The 25,485-nt window shown below is 32.1% G+C and overlaps 2 protein-coding genes, 1 long non-coding RNA gene and 1 other non-coding gene across 4 annotated transcripts in view; all 4 read left to right on the top strand.

Annotated features, from left to right (window-relative positions):
- The window catches only part of MIR4500HG (MIR4500 host gene), a 226,977-nt gene that overhangs the window by 28,814 nt on the left and 172,678 nt on the right, over positions 1–25,485 (top strand). The window lies entirely within an intron of this gene.
- Positions 1–25,485, top strand: part of LOC124900338 (formin-like protein 5) — a 58,101-nt gene that overhangs the window by 30,218 nt on the left and 2,398 nt on the right. The window lies entirely within an intron of this gene.
- On the top strand, positions 13,732–20,129 carry LOC124903229 (NADH-ubiquinone oxidoreductase chain 5-like; the record flags this gene model as incomplete). Its single annotated transcript, XM_047430846.1, has 3 exons — positions 13,732–14,168; positions 14,237–14,470; positions 20,030–20,129. Coding segments are annotated over 3 exons (771 nt in total), but the record flags the coding sequence as incomplete, so codon positions are not given.
- On the top strand, positions 23,410–23,485 carry MIR4500 (microRNA 4500). The gene has a single exon (NR_039722.1). It is a non-coding gene; the product is annotated as a microRNA 4500 (primary transcript).

Raw genomic sequence — 25,485 nt, 5'->3', positions numbered from 1 at the left:
TAGCAGTTTCTTTTACAAAATATTAGCCTGAGAAACACAAAACTAATGTTTATCACAAAAGAAGCTAGCATACAATTTAAATAGAATGTCTGTAATTTGAAAGGGGAAGCTTTGTCTTTAAAATGAAGGAGGGTGAGATAAATCATATTTGAATTCAAAACAAACAGTTCATGTTTATTTTTTAACCTATGATCAAAGATAGGAACTCAGAATGATTATTGAACAGTTTTAAGAATATTACATGCCTTTGCTAATTTAATCCTCATTATATTGTGATCTTTTTGGAGATTTATAGGCCTCATTGTAATATGGCCAAATTGAGAACAGGACACCAAGTAACTTATCCAAAATTACATAGTTTTTAAATCTTGTAACAACAGTGAGATTTGAAATTAACCTGACAGTAACTCTGGCTGCAGAATCTATGCTCATAAACACTAAGCAGTATATCTCCTTGTGCAGAGAGCAATAATCTTGCACTGTCTATACTATCTAATTCTCTAAGCAATAGCCATAAGTGGCCATGAGCACTTGAAATGTGGCCATTCAGATTTCAGCTGTGCTATAAGTATAAAATACACATCAGATTTCGAATATTTAATACAATAAATAATGTAAAAATGTAAAATATTTCATCAGTGATTTTGACAATGACTACATGTGGAAATAATATTTGGGATATAATGAGTTAAATAACATGTTATTAATTTTAAAATTAATTTTACTTGTTTCTTTTTCTCTCTTTTATGATGCACTGATTTTAACATGATAGGTAGGCAGTCAGATTATAGGATCCAAACAAATACTTAATAAATGAATAAATTAATGGTTGATGCATTATAACTACTCTTCTGGATAAAATACCAACACTTTTGCTCAACATAAATGCACCAATATTTTGGCTTTTGTGAGAGTCTGTGTCTGCAGAACAGGAATATTACTTTTTAATTTAAAAAATATTTTTAAAAAACAATTTATTGAAGTTTGATTGACATACAAAACTGTACGTATTTAATCTATACAAATAGAGATAAGTAAACCATTGCCACAATTTACACCGCAAACACATGCATCACCTCTTTTAAGAGGATACTATTAATAAAATAACGTAATAGCATTTTACTGAATGCTTGCTGTGTTCTAACCAATGCTTGCTTGTTCTAACCTTTTCATATGTATTACTTCATTCAATATTCATAATTATATAAAATAGGTATTATTGATAACCTTACTTCAGAAATGAGAGAAGTGGAGCCAACAGAGGTTAAATAAAAATCTGAGGGCCAACTAATTAGTAATTGAGAGTGGAATTCAAACCTAGGTAGGGCTCTGGTAGATGAGGATGAAGGTATTAATAAAGTAATAAACTTGGGGGTAACGATATCCATTTTCTAATGTTCTAATCTCATTTTTTAATTCCTTGGGTAATCTTGGTCAAGGCAGTAACTATTTTGTGTAACAGTTTGCTCACCAATGAGATGAAAGGCTCTAAATATCTTGTAATATATATATATATATATATATATATATATATATATATATATATATTTAAGAACATCAAAGTCTGAAAAAACAATATGAATCCAACTTTTCTTTCCAGGATTTTATCCCAGCATCCCTTATACAAGTCGTGCACCACAGCCAAAGTGAACTATTTATTGATTATTGAATATACCCAACATGTGTTCTTACTCCTCACATATGGTGTCCTCTCTGCCTACATGTATTCTCCTTCATCTCTCACTATGGAGACTGTTTAATTTTCAATGCTCCTATCAACCTTTGTGTCCTCCTTTATTCTTTTTTGATTATTACCTGCACATAACTTCCTTGCCTTCTGAACAATCATTATGTTTTAAGTATATTTTGGAATTTATCTCCCTTCACATAACATTATGGTTATGGTATACTTGACTAATTATTATGCATTTATAAGCTACTTCATGTCAAATATCATGCTTTACTCCTTTGTGTATTTTCTGCATTTTACATTAGTCATAAATGCTCCAATATGATTATCAAGTTTAATAGCATCTTCACCTGACTACTAAGAAATCCAGTGATAATTTCTGTCTCTAGAAAGAGAGAGAGAGAGAGAGAGATACTTTTTCCTTGCAAAAAGAGGTGGCAGTTGAAACTGTTGCAATTCACTGCAACAATTTTGAGAAAAAAATGTAATTACAGAATTTATATCTTCTTTTTCTTTCTAATAGGAAAAAATATTGAGTGCACACATATATTCTCACATTAATACACATCAACTTATTCTTAAGTTAATATCAAGACATTTCCAGTAACTAATTCTAATGAGATAGAAAGTATATATTTGGCAAGTTCATAGGTTCTCTGCTTGTTCAATTATACAATCAAATATTCATTTTATTGGTTTAGTTTTCTATATTAAGATATATAAAATTTTCTGGAAGAAAATTAGATCTATATATGAGATCAAAATGTTGAGCCTTAAAATTATGAAGTGACTCAAAATCTAAAATTATTTAGTTGAAGAAAGGAGTCATTTGTAAAATTTAACAGACATGCGACTTCATTTTCTATTGACATATTTTCTATGTCAATCTTTTTGAGAGGGTAGGAAGTTCATTCTGGTGTTGATTTTAAGGCATTCTTTTACAATACCATTAAAAAAAAAAAATACCTAGAAAACAGTTAACCGAAAACACCCACTATAGGTCAGCACTAAAGTCAAAACCAGTTGACCTGTGAAGAAGAAAGACTGAGTTTCTGTATTCATGAGCAGGGGTGACAAGAACTCCATGTTAATTCACCATTATTAAAACATCATCAACTTTTAATAATTTGTTAAATGTTATATTAACAATTTCAATGTTCAGATTAACCCCATTATTTTAAGAACAATTTTATAGTTATTATTCTTGTTAACTTTGTCATTTTACAAATAATTTCAACATTATAATCATAAAATCTCTTTCAATGACAAGTACAAATATCATAAAACATAAATGTTCACTCTTTGAAATAATTATTTGGCCAAAAGTGTTGAACACGTAACTTGTCAGAAATGGGCCTGTATGGTTACTTCTATTAATAGATCTACATATAAAGGATAAAGATGCTTTATCAATATGTTGCTACTAGTTTTCTAAGGAATCTAGAATGTATATACACATATATATCTATATTATATATAATTTAATATATAAAATAAGATGTTTAAATACAAATATTATTTAATTTATTAGCATTATAAATAGATAATACATGTATATGTATCTGTGTGTGTATGTATATGCATGAACTGTAGATTATTTCCTAATTTCTTAGAATGTGTTGAAGTGGAAAACAATTTGTATTTTATGCAAAGCTATTAGGATATTCTGTAGACCATTTATATAATATTATGTAACAGGAATTGGAATTTAGAGCAACCATAAAGAAAATAATCTTTATATAACTGACAATCACAATATTAAAGCATGAAAACCAGGAGAATTTGAGAAAACGCATTGTCCTTTCTTAACTTCATTCCCACTCTATCTACCTTCCAATATTGGGACAGATATCTCAGTGGCAATTCATTTGAAACTTTTGCATTTCAAAATACAGTCTCTGTGACTAAATAAAAGGTGTTGTCCGGTTTAAACTGATAGTAGAATCCGGAATGATATTTCATTCAAGCAAAGTTATTGCACATAAAAACAAAATAGTTCCAATAATTCTATCTCACTTATGGAACTAAACTTCTTATAATTATAATATAAAGATATTCTTCACCATTATACTTACATTATGTTTAGTCTCATGATTTACAAATATTTGATATGATTACTGGTGTAGAATTGACAGAGAAATAAATATAGATTTACATATTTTGTACATTAATAGATTTAAAATAGATATACTGTTTTAAGATATCTACATGTGCATGAAATAAAAGTTAAATTGTACTAGAATTCATTTATATTAATATTGGTGCTGAATATTATGAATATATATTTCATCTAATATGGCATACAGATATGTCAATATTTTAAACAAGTTAGCTGTATTTGAAAGGAAGTATGCCATTTAAAAAATTATGTATGTATAAGAGATAGATTACTGTGTGCTCAGATTAATAGGCATCTTTGTTAGTTTTCTTTACATGTCAGTTACACATTTAACTTAAATTCAGACTCCATGAAAATTACATGGTGAAGAATGCATGGAGCACATTATGCTTCTTTCCTTCTAAAATCTCTCACTTGTTTTCTTAGTTTTTCTGTACATCAATAATTCCTTCTAGCTTCCCCTAAGAATCCACACTTTATTGTGTTATTCCTTAATTTTCTTTTATGTGAATTAAATGTTTTATTTAATTCCCTCTGGAACTCTGTAATTATCAAAGCATCCCTGAGCTATAAAATGGAGTTGTACATAAGATAACATTTTCTCCTTCTTTCAACCATTTTTTATGTCTCTGTACGTGCTAATCAAAGTGCTCCTCTTCTTTTAGACAGCCCTACTTTTCCTTAGACACTTAATTTGTCACTGCCACCTATTCAAAACCCTCCCTATACACTATATCTTCATTGAGTTCTTGAGAAGAACCTACAAATTTGACATGCATAATAGAGAAGATACAGCCTTTGAAACTTGGACATTTTTATTCTTATTTCAACATTCATGACCTCTAACAATCTTTAATGTTTAAGTTAATTTTCCCTGATGTATGAAATCAATTTAGAACCTCATGAAAATTAATTAAATTAACATATTTACACATCTAACAAAGAAGAGTCATCCTTAGGTATACACAGTGGGCTGGTTCTAGGACCTTTCATGGATACCCACATCCTCGGATGCTCAAGTCCCTGATACCAAATGGTGTAGTATTTACATATGAGTTATGCACATTCTTCTGTATATTTTAAATCATTTCTATATTCCTTATAATTTTAATACTATGTAAATGATTTGTAAATAGTCATTCTACTGCATTGTTTAGGGAATAATAACAAGAAAATACCTGCACATGTTCAGTACAAACACAGTGTTTTTTTAAAAAACTTTGATTCATGGTTGATTGAATCCATGGGTACTGAGGACTGACTATACTGTCACACAGGAGTCATTTAGTAAGTGGTAGTTTTCTATACATTTTTAAAAAATACCATCCTGTTTTTTCTTCTTATTTCAGGATGTATAATTACTCACTAACCTCCAAGTTACTTCCAGAGACCATATTAGATGCTACCTTTAGAATATAAGTCAGCATAGTTGACCTCAAGGATTTATTTTATTTTACTACATAATCTTGTCTAAAACGCTGAAATCTGACTTCTGTCTGTCACCATCTATTGAAAGCTATTTCTCAGAACTTACTATGGTATCTCATTTATTCCGCATATTTAATTAGTATCTGTTGAACAGCAGCATAGTATGTGCCATCATCATTTTTCTTGACTCCGCAGCATTCGACATTGATCAACATCTCCCCATTTTGAAATTCTTCTCTTTGAAGCTTACTTTATATCAATGTTCTTTTCTTTCTGCTCCTCTGATTTGTATCCTTCTGCCTTGCTGTAATTCATTCTCCCATAACCTATTACAGGTTTTTGTAATCCTATCAACATTTAACCCTCTAATTAATGTCTTAGTTCTCCCCTGACCTCACGCTGAGCTTCAGTCCTACGTTTCTAGTCACCAGCTATATATTTCTATGTCTTACCATCTCAAACTCAATGCATCTTTAAAATAATTCTACAAATGTGGACATAAAGCCTTTGACATAAAACCCATTGAGCTATGAATGTCCTGTTATTACTAACACTAATCTCACAGTTCGTCACCCTTGTCTTGATCTGTGGTGCTTCAGAGTTTATATACAGGAGGATTTAGAGAGACTGGCTCAATAACATAGAAGAAAGAATCACAGATTAAGAAATTTTTGTTAAAGTTTTTCATGGAAATCACCTTAAATATTATTTTTAAATGATAAAAAATAACACAAACTTTAAAAATGCTTTATTTTCTACTTTTCTAAAATTATAAAAATATAAATTAAAATTGTATTATTATTAGAAGTATATTTAATATTGTTAATATTTAAGATGGTTTGTAGAGCAGTAATGGATATTATTAGAAGGCTCAAATCTGCCATCCCTCAGCTTACCCTAGAGAACTGTGATAGATACATTTAACTCTTCCTACATTTTTTTTTTGTTGTTGTTGTTCTTTCAAACTTTTATTTTAGGATCATGGGGTATACGGGCAGGTTTGTTACATGGATTAATTGCATGTTGCGGGGGTTTGATGTACAGATTATTTAGTCACCCACTTAAGGATTATAGTACCTGATAAGTACTATAATAGTTTTTCCAATCTCACCCTCCTTCCACTCGCCACACTCAAGTAAACCCCAGTATCCATTGCTCCCTTTTTTTCTGTGTTCATGTGTACTCAATGTTTAGCTCCCGCTTTTAAGTGAGAACATGCAGTATTTGATTTTCTGTTCCTGCGTTAACTTGCTTAGGATAATGGCCTCCAGCTCCATGCATGTTGCTGCAAAGAATATGATTTTATTCATTTTATTAACAGCATAGTATGCCATGGTGCATATTTACCACATTTCCTTTATCTAGAGAATCTTGTTGGGCATCTAGATTGATTCTATGGCTTTGCTATTGTAAATTGTGCCGCAATGAATATAATGTGCATGTCTCTTTAGGATAGAATTATTTATATTTCTTTGGGTATATACCCAGGAATTGGGTTGCTGGGTGAAATAGTAGCTCTACTTTTAAGTTATTTGAGAAATCTCCAAACTGCTTTGCACAGTGGCTGGGCTAATTTACATTCCCAATGGCAGTAGTATAAGGATTCCCTTTTTTCCACAGCCTTACCAGCATCTGTTATTTTTTGACTTTGTAATAATAGCCACTCTGACTGGTGTGAGATGATATCTCATTGTGGTTTTGATGCATTTCTCTGATGATTACTGATGTTGAGCATTTTTTCATGTGCTTGTTGGCCATATGTATGTCTTCTTTTGGGAAGTTTCTGTTCATGTCTTTGTTTATCTTTTAATAGGGCTGTTTATTTTTTGCTTGTTAATTTGTTTAAATTCCTTATAGATTCTGCATATTAGACCTTTGTCAGATGAATAGTTTGCAAATATTTCCCCCATTCTGAAGGTTGTCTGTTTACTCTGTTGATAGTTTCTTTTGCTGTGGAGAAGCTCTTTAGTTTAATTAGGTCACACTTGTTTTTGTTGCAGTTACTTTTGAAGCCTTCATCATGAAATTTTTATAGGGCCTATGTCCACAGTGATATTTCCTAGATTATCTTCTTTTTTATGGTTTTAGGTTTTATATTTAAGTCTTTAACCTACCTTGTGTTGATTTTTGCATATGGTTAAAGAAAGGGCTCCAGTTCTGCATATAACTAGCCTGTTCTCCCAACACAAATTATTGAATAGGGGGTTCCTTCTCCATTGCTTGTTTTTGTCAATTTTGTTTATTTCTGGCTTCCCCAATCTGTACCATTGACTTATGATCTGTTTTTCTACCAGTACTATGATGTTTTAGTTACTGTAGCCTTGTAGTATAGTTTAAAGTTGGGTAGTGTGATGCCTCTGGATTTGTTCTTTTTGCTCAGTATTGCTGTGGCCATTTGGATTCTTTTTTGGCTCTGTATGAATTTTAGAATAGTTTTTCTAATTCTGCGAAAAATGTCATTGATAGTTTAATAGGGATAGCATTAAACCTCTAGATTGCTTTGTATAGTATGGTTATTTTAATAACATTAATTATTTCTATTCATGAGCATGTAATGTTTTCCCATTTGTCTGTGTCATCTCTGATTTCTTTCAGCAGTGTTTTGTAACTTTCATTTTAGAGACCTTGCCTCCCTGGTTAGCTGTATTCCTATATTTTATTTTTTTGTATGTGGCTATTTGTTAGTGGGATTTCATTCTTGATTTGTCTCTCAGATTGGACATTATTGGTGTATAGAAATGCTACTGATTTTTGTACATTGATTTTTGGTACTGAAACTTTGCCGTAGTTGTTAATCAGATCGAAGAGCTCTTGGGTAGAGACTGTGGGGTTTTCTAGGTATAAAATAATATCATATGTGAAGAGAGATAGCTTGACCTCCTCTTTTCTTATTTGGATGCCTTTTACTTTCTCTTGCCTAATTGCTCTGGCTAGAACTTCTAGTACTATGTTGAATAGGAGTGATGAGAGTGGTCATCCTTGTCTTGTCCTGGTTCTCAGGAGAATTTTTCTAGCTTTTGTCCATTTAGTATAATGTTGGCTGTGGGTTTGCCATCATTGGCTCCCTATTTTTAGATATGTTTCTTAGATCCCTAGTTTTTTGAGGCTTTTTTAACATGAAGGAATGTTGAATTTAATTGAAAGCCTTTTCTGCATCTATTGAAATGATCATGTGGGTTTTAATTGTTTTTACATGGAAATTAAATAAGCTGCTCCCAGATGACGTGGGTAAACAATGAAATTAAGGCAGAAAGATAATTGTTTGAAACTAAGAAAAACAAAAATACAACGTATTGAAATCTCTGGAACACAGCTATATCCATGTTAGAAGAAATTTTATAGTGCTAAATGCCCACATGAAAAAGTTAGAAAGATCTCCAGTTAACAATCTACCATCACACCTAGAGGAACTGGAAAAACAAGAGCAAACCCACCCCAAAGCTGCAGAAGAAAATTAATAACCTAATCAGAGCTGAACGGAATGAAATTGAGATGTGAAAAATTATACAAAAGATCAATGACACCAAAAGCTGGTTATTCGAAAGAATAAATAAGATCGATGGCCTGCTAGCTAAGTTAATAAAGAAACAAATAGAAAATCCAAATAAACACAATCAGAAATGATAAAGGGGACATTACTTCCTACCCTAATTCATTTTAAGAGGCCAGCATCATTGTGATACAAAAACTTAGCTGAGACGCAACAAAAAATGAAAGCTTTAAGCCCATTATTTTCAATTGTTCATGAGACTCATTCCATTTATTTTACACAATATCTCAAACCTGTCCCTTCCTTTCTATTACCACTGCCAAAAATTACAGTCTTAAGTAAGGGTCTGTAGCCTTACATCCAGAGAATTACAGAAAACTTTTAGCTGATTTATTTGTGCCTCCCCCCCTCCCAAAGTTTTTTCATTCAATCTATCCAATATATTACCTTCAAATGAATCCTTCTAAAGTAGGACATTGATCACGCAAATATTGAGATCGAAAATCCTGTTATCTCTGGTTTGCCTGATGGATAAATTCCAAACATTTTTCAAAATTTGGAACCCTAGGTAACCTGGCATTCTTAGTCTCAGTTGCTTTCAACTGCTTATATACATGAAACCATTAAATCAGCTTACCAAACTCTGTAAATGTACTTTTCACTTCCCCGCTTTCTCACATTTGCTCTTGATGGTTTATCTTTCCTTATCGCTTAACATCCCCCCTAAAGTGAGGGGAAATTTACATTTTATTTTTCCCAACGAGTCTAGCTGGAACTTTGCCTCACAAACTAGCAACAAGGGAGTCTTTGCCTTTCTGAATTTTGTATATTTGACATAACTTAAGAAACACTGTAAAACATAAGCGTTAAGCTTCAGAATTTGAAGATTCTCTGATTTCTCACTTAGAATTAAAAGGCTGAGTATACAGCCATGTGTTTCTTCAAATTGGGCATGTACACACATACACATAAATTGCTTATATAATTTCCATACTTATATATGTGAACATATACATTGACAATTATCCTGTCATCAGATCATCCAATGGCTGTTTCAGAGATTTAAGATGATATTGATATTACTTCTAGAGGCTAAATGTTGTATAATGATTTTAGCATATCATAGATGCTAATCTTAATAGTATTTCTAAATCATAATCTTTCCTTTGTTTCTTCCTCTTAATCTCCATGAAGAAGATTATAGATTTGAAAGGTGAAGTAAGTTAGAATAAAACCATGTTAATCATTACCTTGGCAAAAATTGTGTGAAATTCAGTATAAAGAAAAGCATTACTAATAGCCCTTCTCAAGCATAGAAAAAGGGATACTCTATATGTGACTGATTCTAACTAAAATTAGGCATTGAATAATAGTTTTTAAAAGACACATGCACACATATGTTTATTGCAGCACTTTTCACAATAGCAAAGATTTGGAACCAACCCAAATGTCCAACAATGATAGACAGGATTAAGAAAATGTGGCACATATACACCATGGAATACTATGCAGCCATAAAAAATGATGAGTTCATGTCCTTTGTAGGGACATGGATGAAATTGGAAATCATCATTCTCAGTAAACTATTGCAAGGACAAAAAACCAAACACTGCATGTTCTCACTCATAGGTGGGAATTGAACAATGAGAACACATGGACACAGGAAGGGGAACATCACACTCTGGGGACTGTTGTGGGGTGGGGGGAGGGGGGAGGGATAGCATTAGGAGATATACCTAATGCTAAATGACGAGTTAATGGGTGCAGCACACCAGCATGGCAAATGTATACATATGTAACTAACCTGCACATTGTGCACATGAACCCTAAAACTTAAAGTATAATAATAATAAAATTAAAAAAATAATAAATAAATAAATAAATAAATAAAAACATACTGATGACTTTTACAGTTTAAAATTAGGTAAGGGAGTATGTTCTTTGTCAGGTAAACTATATCAATTACTACTTCCTTAATTGTTACTAAGTTAATACATTTTAGTTATTTTGCTTATTATTTTTCATGTAATTTTACTCCGGGAGTTACCCGCATTACATAATATCAAATATTTTATACAAAATATTATTTTTAAAATTTATCATTTTAAATGATAAAATGCATTAAATTAAATTACAGTAATACTTAGTCTCAATAAAATATGTTACTATAATTGATGTTATATAATTTTCTGGTCTTTCTCAAATTTGTATAATTACATTAATTTTTAATATACTAAGGCTATGAGAAACTAAATTGAAATTTTTGAAATGCATAGAGTACTTCAATATTGAGTTGCTTTTCAAGAAATAATTTTAATTTTTATTATAATGAACTAATTCAATAAATTATCTTTTATTTTCATGATCAAATAATCTTTATTATTTAACCATTGCCATCAACCTAATGAAACACCTGGATAAAGACTTTTTTTATTAGAAGAAGAAAGGAAGAAAAGAAGGAAGAAACAAAGAAGCAAAGGAAGAAAGAAATCAAGAAAGCAACCAAAAAATAAACAAAAAAAATTGTCTTTCCTCAGATCTATGTTAATGAAAACCAAGTAGCCAATTTGCATGTCTATTTTTCAACGGCAATAACTAATTTTCTCTACCAATTCTTCTAAATGAGTAAAACTGATTGAATTTTTCGTAAATTAATAAAATATCTGGTTCTTCTAAAAGTATAAATTTTTTATGCACTGATTGTCATCTCTATTAAATTTATATTATTTTCTGACTTGTTTTTATAAACAACTGTCTTCCTCAACTTTAAATACCATTTTGTTAGTAGTGATTATACGATAAGGTTTAATGAATATGGTTGCTCATTGATTTCAACATTCAAATAATTTTTAAGATTTCCAATTTGGGATAACTTCAGCAGCTGATATGCTCTCAGGTTGTGTATAAATATATTTAATCAAAGAAATGAGTCCTTGAAGCATTTATTTTTTAAAGATATCCATTATGAATTAATGTGAACCCTTCATTTTATTTTGTATTTTTCTTCAGATACTGTCAAAATACAATAAAAATATAGTAAAAAAATAAGCCAGACTGATGCTTTCAATTGCTATACTGTTTATATTGAAGAGTTTTAATTCACATATCCTCTTCATTTTTTTACTTGCCTTAATAGACTTTTTAAATTTTTTGTATTATTATCAAGCACTAGGATGGGAGATTAAAGATTTGCCTTCAAAGAGCTCATCCTTTAATAGAGGAACAGAGTAATTAAAAATATGTTAACTGTTCAAGGTACTGTGGAGAAGCATTGAAAAATTATATGTAGCCTTGATGGCATGATCAAACTTGATTATTAGGCAGATTACTATTGCAGCAGTGTCCAAAATAGACCAGATATCAGAAAATTTGAGAAAACTAACTCAGAGTATGATAAAGCAATTCTTACAAATAACGACAGTCACTTGAACTGAGGACGATCTAGAAATACTTTGTATTGAATTGATTAGGGAATTAGTAAGAAAATGCAATTTAAAAAATTAGTCACAGGTTTGAATATGAAGATAATAAAAGGAGAACTTCCAGATTTTTGGCTAAGACAATGGTCATTCAACTTCATAATAAATGCAACAAAATATACAAATTTCTTCATTTTGAGAGAAAATGATGAAATTGCTTTTGTACATTTTAATTTATTTTGGTTGCAGTATATGCAAGTGCAGATATGCTGAAAAAAATTAAATGCAGCAATGTATATATCAGGAAAGAAGTTTAGATTTATAAAAACAAAATTTAGAAATTCCAATTTAGTCACAGTTAAACTTGTGGCTTTCTTGAGCTATGGTACTTAACCTCATCATGCTTCAGTTTCTTCGTTTATATACTAGTAACATTGTGGAGATAATATATTAATTTTATTAATACAAGTAAAGAGCTTAAAATAGTTCTCAAAATGTATGCATTCAATGAATATTAGCTAAAACAATGGAGACAGTGGTGTCTCTATTTACAAATTTTTGGGGTGAAATTTGGTTCTTATAAAGTTGTTCTGGAATTAGACGGTTTTGAAGGAATATGCAGCAGCTTGTTAAGAGGAAACAGAAAAAATATCATAAATTTAGGTATTTTGCAAAAAGGCTAGGTCCTGGGCTCAGCTGATGGGAGAAAGTGATGCAGTAGTAGGGGTAAATATCTACAATTTGTTCAAAGTCATTCACCAAGTGAACTGAAGTCCAAATATTTCCCATGTGATTCAACATCTATTCCAATGTACTTTAAAAAATTGGTTATTCACTAAACCAACTGTCTAACCTCATGAACCAGAGCAGATTTATGGAAACTAAATAGTTCTGGACTCTACTTTGTTTTATTCACTTATACTTCCATCTTATGCCAATTCCACACTGTCTTGATTATGGTACCTTTAGAGATGCCTAGTTTCCATTTTCCTAAAATACAGAAAAAATAAGCAAATTTCCTCATATGTAATCCATCCAATGTAAGTTCTATCTAAAAATTATATACATAGTAGAACCCAACTCATCATTGACTTAAAAAGTACTTTTTATTTTTGCCCGCATACATGAACAGAAACATGTGGTCACAAGAAATAATTCTGGAATTCTCAGATTTTACTGTTTATGTAAGATATCAATGTCACCAGGTGACAGGAAAAGGTGACCAATAGATGGGAAACAAAATATAAATTATGTTTATCTCTCAATCAGTATTTAATTCATGTATTTTTAGCACTTAATATGTCACACATGGCTTTAGGGAATTTGCAGAGAATAGGCAGATAATGTCCCTGGTACATAGACGATAACTTCCAGTAGTAGAGACAGATAACAAATACATGAATAAATGTAGTTAATTGCAATAGTAATAAATGTTGTAAAAAATTTAAAGTGGGTCATGTGCAGTGGTTCACACATGTAATCCCAGCACTTTGGGAAGCAGAGAAGGGCAGACTGGTTGAGCCCAGGAGTTCAATACCAGCCTGAGCAACATGGTGAGACCCTGTCTCTACAAAATATATATGTGTATATATATACACATATATACGTATATATGTGTATATATATACACATATATACGTATATATGTGTATATACACATATATACATATATGTGTATATATGTACACATATATGTGTGTATATATGTACACATATATGTGTGTATATATGTACACATATATGTGTGTATATATGTATACATATATGTGTGTATATGTATACATATATGTGTGTATATGTATACATATATGTGTGTATATATGTATACATATATATGTGTATATATGTATACATATATGTGTATATATGTATACATATATGTGTATATATGTATACATATATATGTGTACATATATATGTGTATATATGTGTACATATATATGTGTATATATGTGTGTATATATGTGTACATATATATGTGTATATATGTATACATATATATGTGTATATATGTATACATATATATGTGTATATATGTATACATATATATGTGTATATATGTATACATATATATGTGTATATATGTATACATATATATGTGTATATGTGTATACATATATATGTGTATATGTGTATACATATATATGTGTATATGTGTATACATATATATGTGTATATGTGTATACATATATATGTGTATATGTGTATACATATATATGTGTATATGTGTATACATATATACGTATATGTATACATATATGTATACATATATATGTGTATATATGTATATATGTGTATATATATACATATATATACATATATTTGTATATATGTGTATATATACACCAAAATTAGCCAGACATGATGGCGTGTGCCTGTGTCTCAGGTACTTGAGAGGCTGAGGTGGGAGGATCTCTTGAACTTGGTTGATGGAGGTTACAGTGAGTCAAGATTGTGCCACTGCATTCCAGCACAGGTGACGGAGTGAGACCCTGTCAAAAAAATAATTAATTAAAAGTGGGCACTGTATAAGGTAAGGACTGTAAGAAGAACAAATTTAAGTAAAACAGTTAGAGAAATCTAGCAAAACAAAGCTTGTGAGTTTGCTGAACATTGGATTGATTTGAAGAACATAAACTTTACAGACCTGCAGAATAGTAAAAGATGGTGAATGCAGAAGGAAATTAGTTTGCAAATGTGGCCAGAGATCAAGAAGGACCTGTTAGTCTCTGGTAAGTAACCTGAGCTTCTGTTTGTTTTTTAATTCATTGGGAAATCTTGGGAAGGTTACAAGAAAATAAATTATGGATAATTAGAGTTCTTGTTATTTAACAGACCACCCCAAGCTTTTTGGCATAAAACAATATTTTCTTTGGCTCACCAATCTGCAGTTTGGTGAAATGAAGGCTTATCTTTGCTTCATCACATCATCTGCATCAGCTCAACTGGGAGCTGGGAGATTCCACTTGAAAAAGAAATCTCTCTTCCACGGGTGCAAATTAATGCAGTTGACTAGAAACTCAGCTGGTGCTGAGGGGCAGAAGCCTCTGTTCCTTTCCACGTGAACTTCCTCAGAAAGGCTTCTCTGCTGCACTCTCTGGGCTTGACGACAAGGTAGCTGGACATAAGGTGAGCCTCCCAGGAGACAGAAAGTGGAAACTAGCAGTTTCTTTTATACTTGTTCTGGGAACTGGCACATCATTTTTATCTGACACTATTGATTATGTGTACAGAGTCCACATTTCAGGGAGAGGCATAGACTGTATTTCTCAATGGAAGGAATATTAAATAATTTTGGGACCACACTCTCTTCTGACCCCCAATTATTTACATTTCTCCCACATTCAATATATAGTCACACCAAGAAACCCCAGGATTTTTGTGCCATTACAGCATCAGGAAGAAAATCAACGACTGAGATCTCATCATCTAAATTATGTATATATATATGGATGATGCCCTTTAGTTGCTGTTCCTTGGGTATGTCTCCTTGAGTACAGTTCTCCTTTGAAATAAAGCTATAGGAAATAAAGAGGCAAGCTCTCTTCCCTCAACATACCCAAAATTTATTGGTTGGACAGACATAGGCTAATTACAATTGTCGTTGAAGGGGGTGAGTAAAAAGGAAGCCCAGTCCCTTATCCATAGTAATCTTTAAATCCAGCTAAAAAATATTGCTAAATATTTAAAGGCCAGGTGCAGTGGCTCGCGCCTGTAATCCCAGCACTTTGGGAGGCTGAGGCAGGCGGATCACAAAGTCAGGAGTTCGAGACCAGCCTGGCCAATCTGGTGACACCCCGTCTCTACTAAAATACAAAAATTAACCGGGCGTGGTGGCATGCACCTGTAAACCCAGCTACTCGGGAGGCTGAGGCAGAAGAATTGCTTGAACATGGGAGGTGGAGGTTGCAGTGAGCCGAGATCATGCCACTGCACTCCAGCCTGGACGACAGAGCAGACGCAGATTCCATCGTGCTCTCTCTCTCTCTCTCTCTCTATATATATATATATATACGTGTATATATATATATACGTGTATATATATATACACGTATATATATATGGCTAGTTTATTATTAATTTTTATCTCTATATATATGTGTGTATGTATGTGTGTGTGTGTGTGTGTGTGTGTGTATATGGCTCGCTGTCTCTCTCCATATATATGTATATATATATGGCTAGTTTATTGACTGGGTCACAGTGTTGCTTTCCAAGGGTTATTCTTACTGGCTTATAGTGTCCTTCTTTTGGATCTTTGTTCTACCTTCTGAAACTTATTTTATTTTCCATAAAATGTAGCTTCTGTTCGCTCCTGAGTAGTTTTCTCACCACAAAAGTTTAGGAGTTTAAATGCCTATTTTCATCTTGTACTGTCTTTGTTTCTTTCAGTCTAATTTGGCAGGGCTTTCACCAGAATCATTTATAGGCATTCTTTGAGTTTTATTGCTGCTCACTCAATTAGGTAGAAGCCACAACCAGAAATCTCATTGAGGTAAGCTTTACTACAACTTGAGATCATTGTAAGGCTACTATGGGACAATAACAGCTAATTGAACTTGGGGCTTATCCTGCACTGGCAGTCCGGTATAGCTGGAGCTGGAACAGCAGGTGAACTGGGGCTGGCCATATCACCATTCTTATAGTCTCAAGGTCTTCTCATTGTGGTCTCTTCATGTGGGCTAATTTGGGCTTTGTCACATCATGGTGGCTGGGTGTCAAGAGTGAGTATCCCAATAGAACCATGTCCAGTTTGATGACCTAGCCTTAGAAGTCACATAGCATAAGACATAGACATAAGACCCCCAGGATTAAGGAGAAGGCAACACAGACCCTCACCTCTTGTTAGGAGAATTGTCAAGGTCATATTGTAAGTGAAAGTACAATAGAACATCATATTATGGTCATTTTTAAGAAAATACAGTCTTCCACAGGTAGAATTTAGACTAAATTAATATAACAAAGTAATCAAATATGTAATCATTTTACAAAGTTTTATATATGTGTGTATATATGTATACGTATATATGTGTATACATATATACGTATACATATATATGTATATATGTATACATATGTATATATGTATACATGTATATATATACGTATACATATATACGTATATATGTATACGTATATATATACATGTATACATATATATATATATGTTGTTGTTGTTTGTTCTCATTGCAAGAGTCCAGACATACATAGGCCTCATCTGGTACCGAGGCTCCAAAGAACGGTAATTCCCAAAAGATGGCTTTCATTTCTGGTCAACTGTAGGAAATAATACTTCCCTGCCAATGAGTAAAGACCAAGGGAGTATATGTCATGTTTGTTTTAATTGCATCCTGAAGTAGCAGACATTACCTCGCTCCCCTCTAATTGGACAATACTAGTCATATGTAGTCATATGTTATAATAACCTGCAATAGAAGATGGAGTGCTTAGTCTTTAGCTGGGAAACAATGTGTCTAACACAAACCTAGTGGTTCTATCAACAACAAAGGTAAAATGAATGTCATTGGAAAACTGGCGGTTTCTGCTACAAGTGGCATAATCTAATCATTGTTTCAAATTATATATGTAGTAGTGTTTGGAGAATAAACTGGGAAGTGGTAAGAGTAGAGGCAGATCCTATGTTAGGAGGCAATTACAATGGCCTAAGAAATATTTGGTGTTGGCTTGGGCAAGATAGTAACTGTAGAGCCTGGACTTAGATTTTTGGATTGACTAACTAGGTATATAGTGGTATCATTACTGAAAAAGAGAAAAAGTTTTCTTATAGGGTGGAATTGAAATATATACTTTCATTTTCTTATATGTTAATATTCTGATTTTTTTGTGACAACTAAGTCAAAATGGCAAGTTGAAAGTTAGCTAAATTCATCTAGAACTCATAGGAAAAGTCATGGGCAGAATTTTTAATCTGGGGTCAATAGTATGGAAATGCTCTCTGTTGAAATATCTAAACTACAAACTTGCTTTGGGAAACTCAAGATATCAGAAAATAACTGAAGAAGAAAATGATGCAGAGAAGTGAGGAGCAGTAATGTTGCTGTTTGTTAAAAGGCTAAAGGAAGTCATCCGGGAGGCAGAAACCCCAAAAAGATGAAAGAGAAAAAGAAGACTGATACTGTTAAGCTTCTCTTTTTCTTTTCCTAGAGATTTAGTTGTGCTCATTAGGGTAAGTAATTCAAGGATATAATTTGGTTAAGGTTCTAGAAAGTTCTTTTAAAATTTATTCTCTGTTTTGTGGTTTTGTGCTTCTGTCTTTCTGCTTCGTAAATATATCTTACTAAGTATATATAGTAAATATATCTTGCTCAGAAGCAATTACACATATTACCCAATAGAGGATCTCCCTGTTTTTTCTCTCCCATGGTATCTAGTTATTTATCTTATAATATTTAATATAATTTAAAATTTTGTCCTACTTTGTACATTTTTTGTGCAAAATAACCTATCTTATCTAGGATTCAACATCCTAGAGCGTAGAATTTGCACTTTGCATAAAATTGGAACTTTTCAAAAATGTGATTAATGACCATTGGACGTGTAATTTGGAGTTCCATCTACAAACACATTACTGACTATATAATTAACAACAAAGAAGGGACCCTACTCAAAGAAGGTTGGGGGCATGTGACTCAGTTTTAGACTGAGTTGGGGAAGCATTGATTTTCCCTTTTGTCTTTGTAGAGTTTTTTCCTTGGAGACAGCTCTTTTTGCTGTCTCTTCACCATTAGAGTCATAGTATTTGGAGAGCCATGATTAAAGGAAAGAACTGTGGAAAATGGGCCAAGAAACCCATTAGTGAAGCTTTTAGTGTTGTTCTAAAGCTTGCCAGTGGTCTAGGCGAAAGGAGTTCTGAAAGCTTTATATAATAGACTAACCCAACTCATGAATCCACTGGGGCTTGGACAAAAGCCATAGCTAGAATTGGAATGTGTACACTACTTCTCTGTATCCTCTGGCTATCTCCCTTTTGATTTTATGGCTCTAGAAAATGGGTGGTTGAGGATTCAGATATTCTATCTAGAAATCAAATATAATTTCAGTGGTGAAATAACATGCGAAAGTAAAAGTTGCCACAAGCCTAAAAAATAAGGATTTTTATTCACAACATCTAGATATCTTAACAGAGTCTAATATAAATTTTGTGATATGTGTGAGGTCACAAGACTAGTAAGTAAAATAACAGGAATTAGATTCCAGATCTGTTGTAATACAAGAATATGCACTCTCCATATTATATCAATTTGCTTACCTAGTAAATAAAAATAGCATTCACAAAAGAGAGCCTCCTTTGTTACCCTGAAATTTTTACAATTTTACTGGGTTTCAGAGAAAGGAGCATTCCCTGAGAAATCAGACCTGTGGGAGAAACTTATTTGCAACAGATAGATTTAGATAAGAGTAGGAGAGAAAGATGGATTTTCAAGGTGAGAGAGATATAAAAGGGCAAGTTAAGGCTTATAGTACCAGATGAGTGCAACTTGTTCTTCACCTGCCCCTGCAGACAAGTAATATGTTGTGACTGAGTCAAGAGTACAATAGCCACACACTGAATTACTTTAAATGTAATTATCTTTCTTTCATGTTGTTATAACGTTGTTGCCAAAACTATGCATTTTAATAATTAATAAACAACATGAACTCAATTTTTTCATAGAATGACTTGATATAAGATCAGGATTATTACAGCCCTATTTTTCCCCTCTGAGGAAATATTGTAATAAATGTTCTTCTGAAGTTACATTTTACAATACTTCTGAATCCATCTCTCACAAATTAAAAAGATACACATACATATTATTATGAAAATAAAAGCCTGGATTCTGGTAGACTTATTTGTTTTTAGACATTTGTTTCATTTTCAGACTTATCAAGATTTATGAGCTTTTTACTCCTTACGTGAACTTTATACCTCTCTTCACAAATCAATTGTATGAAGAACAGGATTCACTGCAACCTGCCTAAGTGTAATAAAATCAACCAAAATAAAGCCCAAATTTCTCTTTTGCAAAATATGAATAATGTTACAGAAGAGAAAAACATTCGTCCTAGCTCTCCTTTTTACAAATTCCCCTAAAAGAATTTATGACTCAAGTGAATGACTAGTCTAGTGGGATGCAGTTTTCTAGGCTAAGATGTAAAATATCCTAAGAACATTTATTACTGCTTGACTGTACTTGAACCTTTTTCAAGATAATGGCCTGAAAATCAGAGATATGTTGGAAAAAATAGTGACTATTAAATTCAGAAGATAATACAAAACAAGATCAAGATATTGGAATTATCATTTATTTGTTGTCTGATCTACATTATATTCTGTGAGAATTTCTGAGTAGATTTTCACTAAATATACATCAACATCAACAATGACATTAAACTGAAAATGATATTCATTTGGTTGAGCTGTTTTGTAACCAAGTTTTTCAGAATAATTGTATTGGCCAAATACATTAGCAATTTGTTCGTCTGTATCTTCATTTTTGCTAGAGAGACAAAACCATGAAACAAATGAAAAAGTATTAAAACATTATGAAAACTTTAATATATTTCCCTAAAATACTTTGAAATAAATATTAAAAATCTATAAAAATATATCCAATAAGCAGTTATAAAAGTATTGTTTAAACTAAGAAGTCCAGGTAATTTAACTTCAATTTTATTTTATCTACAAAGTGAACTTTTTTACACATTTTATTTCCATATGAATTATTTATAATTAATTTCCTTGTTTTTATATTTATTTTTGGATTTAGACGAACAGCTCCTATTTTTAAACATATACATGATTTTTCTTCAATTCACAGTATAGACAAATTAATATTTTTAGCCCATAGGTCAAATAAAAGATTAATAATTTAGACATATCAGCTGTAAATTCATAAGAACCATATGGATGTCCAAGTGGAGGTGGAGGAGGTGATTAAGATGGAAAAAGGCAACCATGAATGAAGACACACAGATCCTCAACCTTTAAAACAGTAAGACACAGTTTTTCACTTATATTAGCCCTTAAAAACCATAAGATGCACTGTTGAAATGGTGCATATTCCAAGAACTGTTGATAGAAATCAAATATATTTTGATGGGAAGAATTAACATAGATAACTGTGTATAATTTTCTTTCAGTGTACACTTAAATTACCTAAACAATTAAAGCCTTATTTTCTTATTCTGTTAAGTGTTAGTAGTAAAGTCTACTTACTTAATAGGGCTAGAGCATGAAATAAGAAAACCAGGCATATCATTTTCTTTGTGTAATGCCTACATATTGCAAGTTGCATATTTGGTAGCCACTGTGCTAATTTCCATTTATGACTATGTCTGTATTTTCTAGAAAGTTGTTTTGTAACCTTAATTAAGAAATGCAAAAATGTTCAGACCTTTTGTGCAGCAATTTTACTAGTAGGAAATTATCCTAAGGAAACAATCACTTACACACACACACACACACACTCACATACACACGCACACTCACATGCACACATCTATACCATAAAATTTTATTATGAAATTATTGTAAGTTTATAAAAATATTTACCAATAGAATAATATTAAGTAACTCATGGATTTTTTATTAAAACTAATTTTGGTATTTTTTAAAGGACTAAAGATATTTTGGTACAGATTTCAGGGAAAATAGGATGCTAGCCCTTGAGAACATGCCGATCTTGCTCCTTGGCTAACTACACCATTCACCTTACTTTGGCTAGGGAGGCATTTGCAGAGCTCTCCTTCTGACATTTTTGTCTAGAGGAGGCGTTGTTGTCTCCCTTACTCTCAGAAGCTTCACGTGTGTTAAGGAAACTTTTTAAGTGTCTTTCCTTTTTGAAATGAGCAAGTGGTAGGTATATAGATACTTTATTATTTTTATCTTATTTATTCAAATATTTTATTTTCCTTCTATTCTATCTTTTTTACGATAGGCATGGACATTCTATTACACATTTGGAAAAATACAGAGTGTAATACACTCTATACCCAAGTCTATATGCAAAAGCTGTTTCTATTTTTCTATATTTGCATCACTAGGTATATGTTCTTTTTAAAGTAAATTATAGATACATTGGTACTTCATTCTAAATACTTCAAGCATATATCTCCAAAAATTAATATTCTCAAATTTTGCTGCAGTGCTATTATTACAGCTAAAATAATTGAGACAAATCACATAATATTACAAAATACCCACAAATTCTATATTTGAGCATATTCAGATATTCTAAAAGTGTATTTATAGCTGATTTGCTCACACCTGGAGTCAATCAAGAATCACACATTGTATTTGGTTGTGTTGGTTCTTAAATCTCTATTAATCTACAATAGACCCAACTATATTTTTCTTTACTTTTATGACATAGAAAGTCTATTGCCAGTGGTTGTCCATTTTCAGATTTGTAATATAGAATTGGTTTGTTTTCATTCTCTGAAGCATATTATATCATTACATTACACAACAACTTCCTGACTTTATTCAATAAGTACATACTGAATTATGAGTGTATGTCAGCCAGAGAACGTATAGCTATGACAGAAAAAAAAAAGAAAGATCTGTCTTTCTTTTTGCTCTAAATATTTTTTTCTCTTTCCTTTAGGATGCAACTGACTCACTTAAAATAGCTGTGTGGATATAGAACTTTTATCAACTACTATTTACTAAATTATATTGGTGTGTTTGTCCTCATCTTAGAATAGCATATCAATAGATGCTATAAAAACATAAGAGGTACGTTTGTAAAACATTGAATTCGGTTCCAAATATCTCAAAATTCTTCCCTAAAGAACACTTTTTGATCGAGATTAAGACATAGGAATCTAAGTTCATCAACCAAAGATGGGTGCCTGACTGCTCATCAACTAATTTTATATGACTCAAAGAATAGGAATTCAGAAGATCTGTGTCCAGCTTTGTCATGGGTAAATAAGGAAGGCACCCATAAATCTTATATAAGTCGTAGGAAGAAGTGTGGTTCTTTGCAGTGAACCATTTCCTGGAAGACACAAGACTGGGGGGATTTTTTAACCTTTGCTGTTTTCCAGGAGTACAGGTTTCTGGTAAAATTCAACATTGTCAGGAGCAGCCAGAGTGATAAGATAACTTATACACAAGACAATCCCTAATAACTTATACACAAGATGATCCCTAATGCAAATGGCGCCTGTGTCTGGAAGAAGCAGTGACACCTTCATAAAACTAAACTTTTGCCTTAATAATATGGTGCTTTCCAGTAGAGGCAATAGCAGAGCCCAGGAGAGAAAGTACTGCCCAGAAGCTAAAGTGTAGATCAAACGCATAATGGCTGAGGTAGTAGTTTCTTGAACTTATTTGTGAGCACATGCAAAAAGTCTCCTGAGTTAAAAACCACAACCACAACAACAACAATGACAACAACAACAACAACAGGGAGGACATTTGCAAAAGTACAGAGTCTCTGCAAGCTTCTGAAAACAAGAGCCAGTAAAAAATGTGATGTAGTAATGTTATTACCACACATGTGAATTCGTTTTTACGTAGTTTTGATGACTTGTGGAAGTTTAGGTTACAGTCACATAGAAAAGTATTTACCCCTTACCTGAAGCACCCTGAGTTTGAGATCAAGAAAAAAAAGATACTAAATGTTTCATCTTGGCATGGCTTGAGGCATAATAGTAAGATAGATATAATAGTATCCATTAATGGCAGAATTCCATCATTTTATAGATATGACTGTCTATGTTATGGTATGTTTTGTAATAAACATGTTTTGTTTTAGAAAAGGAAAATGTCAGAAATATTTGAGATGTCTGAAAGAGTGAAGTTTTCCTAGTGCTGTGAGGAGATTACTAAGAAAAAATGGCATGTACTAATTTTATTTGATTAAAATAAGAACTCAATAATAGACGACAAGCTTCAGGCTAGTTTTAGGAACAATAGTTCTTTCTTTGTCTTTGTTTTGTTTAGTTTTGAAGACAGGGTCTCACTCTGTTGCCCAGGCTACAGTGCAGTGGCACAATCGTGGCTCACTGCAGCCCAGCCTTGGCCTCCTAAGCTCAAGTGATCCTCCCAACACAGCCTCCCATGTTGCTGGGACTACAGGCACACATCACTACTCCTGACTGATTTTTTTTCTTTTTTTAATGTTTGTAAAGACAGGGTTTCACCATTTTGCCCAGGCTGATCTAAAACTCCTGAGCTCAAGTGATCCTTCTGCCTCAGCCTCCTAAAATGGTGGGATTATGAATAAGAGTCACCATGCCCAGATGAGACTTAACTTTCTAAGTAAATTAGACATAATTAACAATCAGTAATATAAACATTTTAAGCCTCCATTTGTAACCAGGTCCTTTCAGCATTTTGACAGAAGTTCTGTATCTTCCACTTCAATACTTAAATTTACTTTTCCTCAGGCACCTGCATTCAACATTAATTTTAAAAAGATCCTGTCAAGTACTACTCTTGAGCTTTTGTTTAATTATTCTTATTACAATACCTCCAGAAACTACCATGAAGGAATTTACATAATTGATATTCATACATTGAAAATAAAATAGAGACTTTGCTGAAGTAATTTCTACTGTCTACTGAAAATAGAGTTTTCAGCTATATTACAAGATAAATTAAATTGTGTTGTAAAGGTCTGGGTGCAAAACTATAATTTTACCATTTTTTTTCTGGAAAATATGGGTTCGAGTTTCTAATTCATAAACTTAAATTGTTCTGTGGTGAAATTAAAAAGTTTCTTGAAAAGTACTTGTATGAAAACTAGTTTTTCTCCGTGTCTACTATGTAGTGTTTCTCAAACTTGCTACTATGGATGCGAGAAGGTTTTTGAAAGTATTGCTTTTTTACGTTCCACAAGTTCTCTACTAAAATTTTTATTTTAGTTTTATCTTTCTATTTTGATAATAATTTCACAATAACCTTATATAAGCATATTCTTTATCAGATACAATACAGATCGGTTATTTCAGTGCCATGGCTGCCTTTGGGTTTATGATATTTTTGGCTCCGAGTTGTATGATGAGAAGTTAATGAACAAATGAGATAGAGAAGCTACATATGTAATACATTTGTCCCAAGTGAAGCCCAAATTACACGCCGATGACACTATAGAAACAAAAGTTTGGTAGCATTTTAATGTGAGTAAAATGAGAAATCAAGTAATTTCATGGCTTAGGGTTGACTAGGCCTGTGAAACTCAACAGAAAACTTTATCACAACAATCATATCATATTTTAATTGAGGTTGGAAATTTACTGTTAACAACACATGTTCTATTATCTCAAATTTATGTTGTTAATTTTAATTTTATGGGTTTATAATTTGCTTGTGCTTAGCTTATAA

The sequence above is a fragment of the Homo sapiens genome, chromosome 13 (genome assembly GCF_000001405.40).
Source record: "Homo sapiens chromosome 13, GRCh38.p14 Primary Assembly".
NCBI lineage: Eukaryota > Metazoa > Chordata > Mammalia > Primates > Hominidae > Homo > Homo sapiens.
Note: the sequence above shows the minus strand (reverse complement) of the source record. Positions and strands in the feature narration are given on the sequence as shown.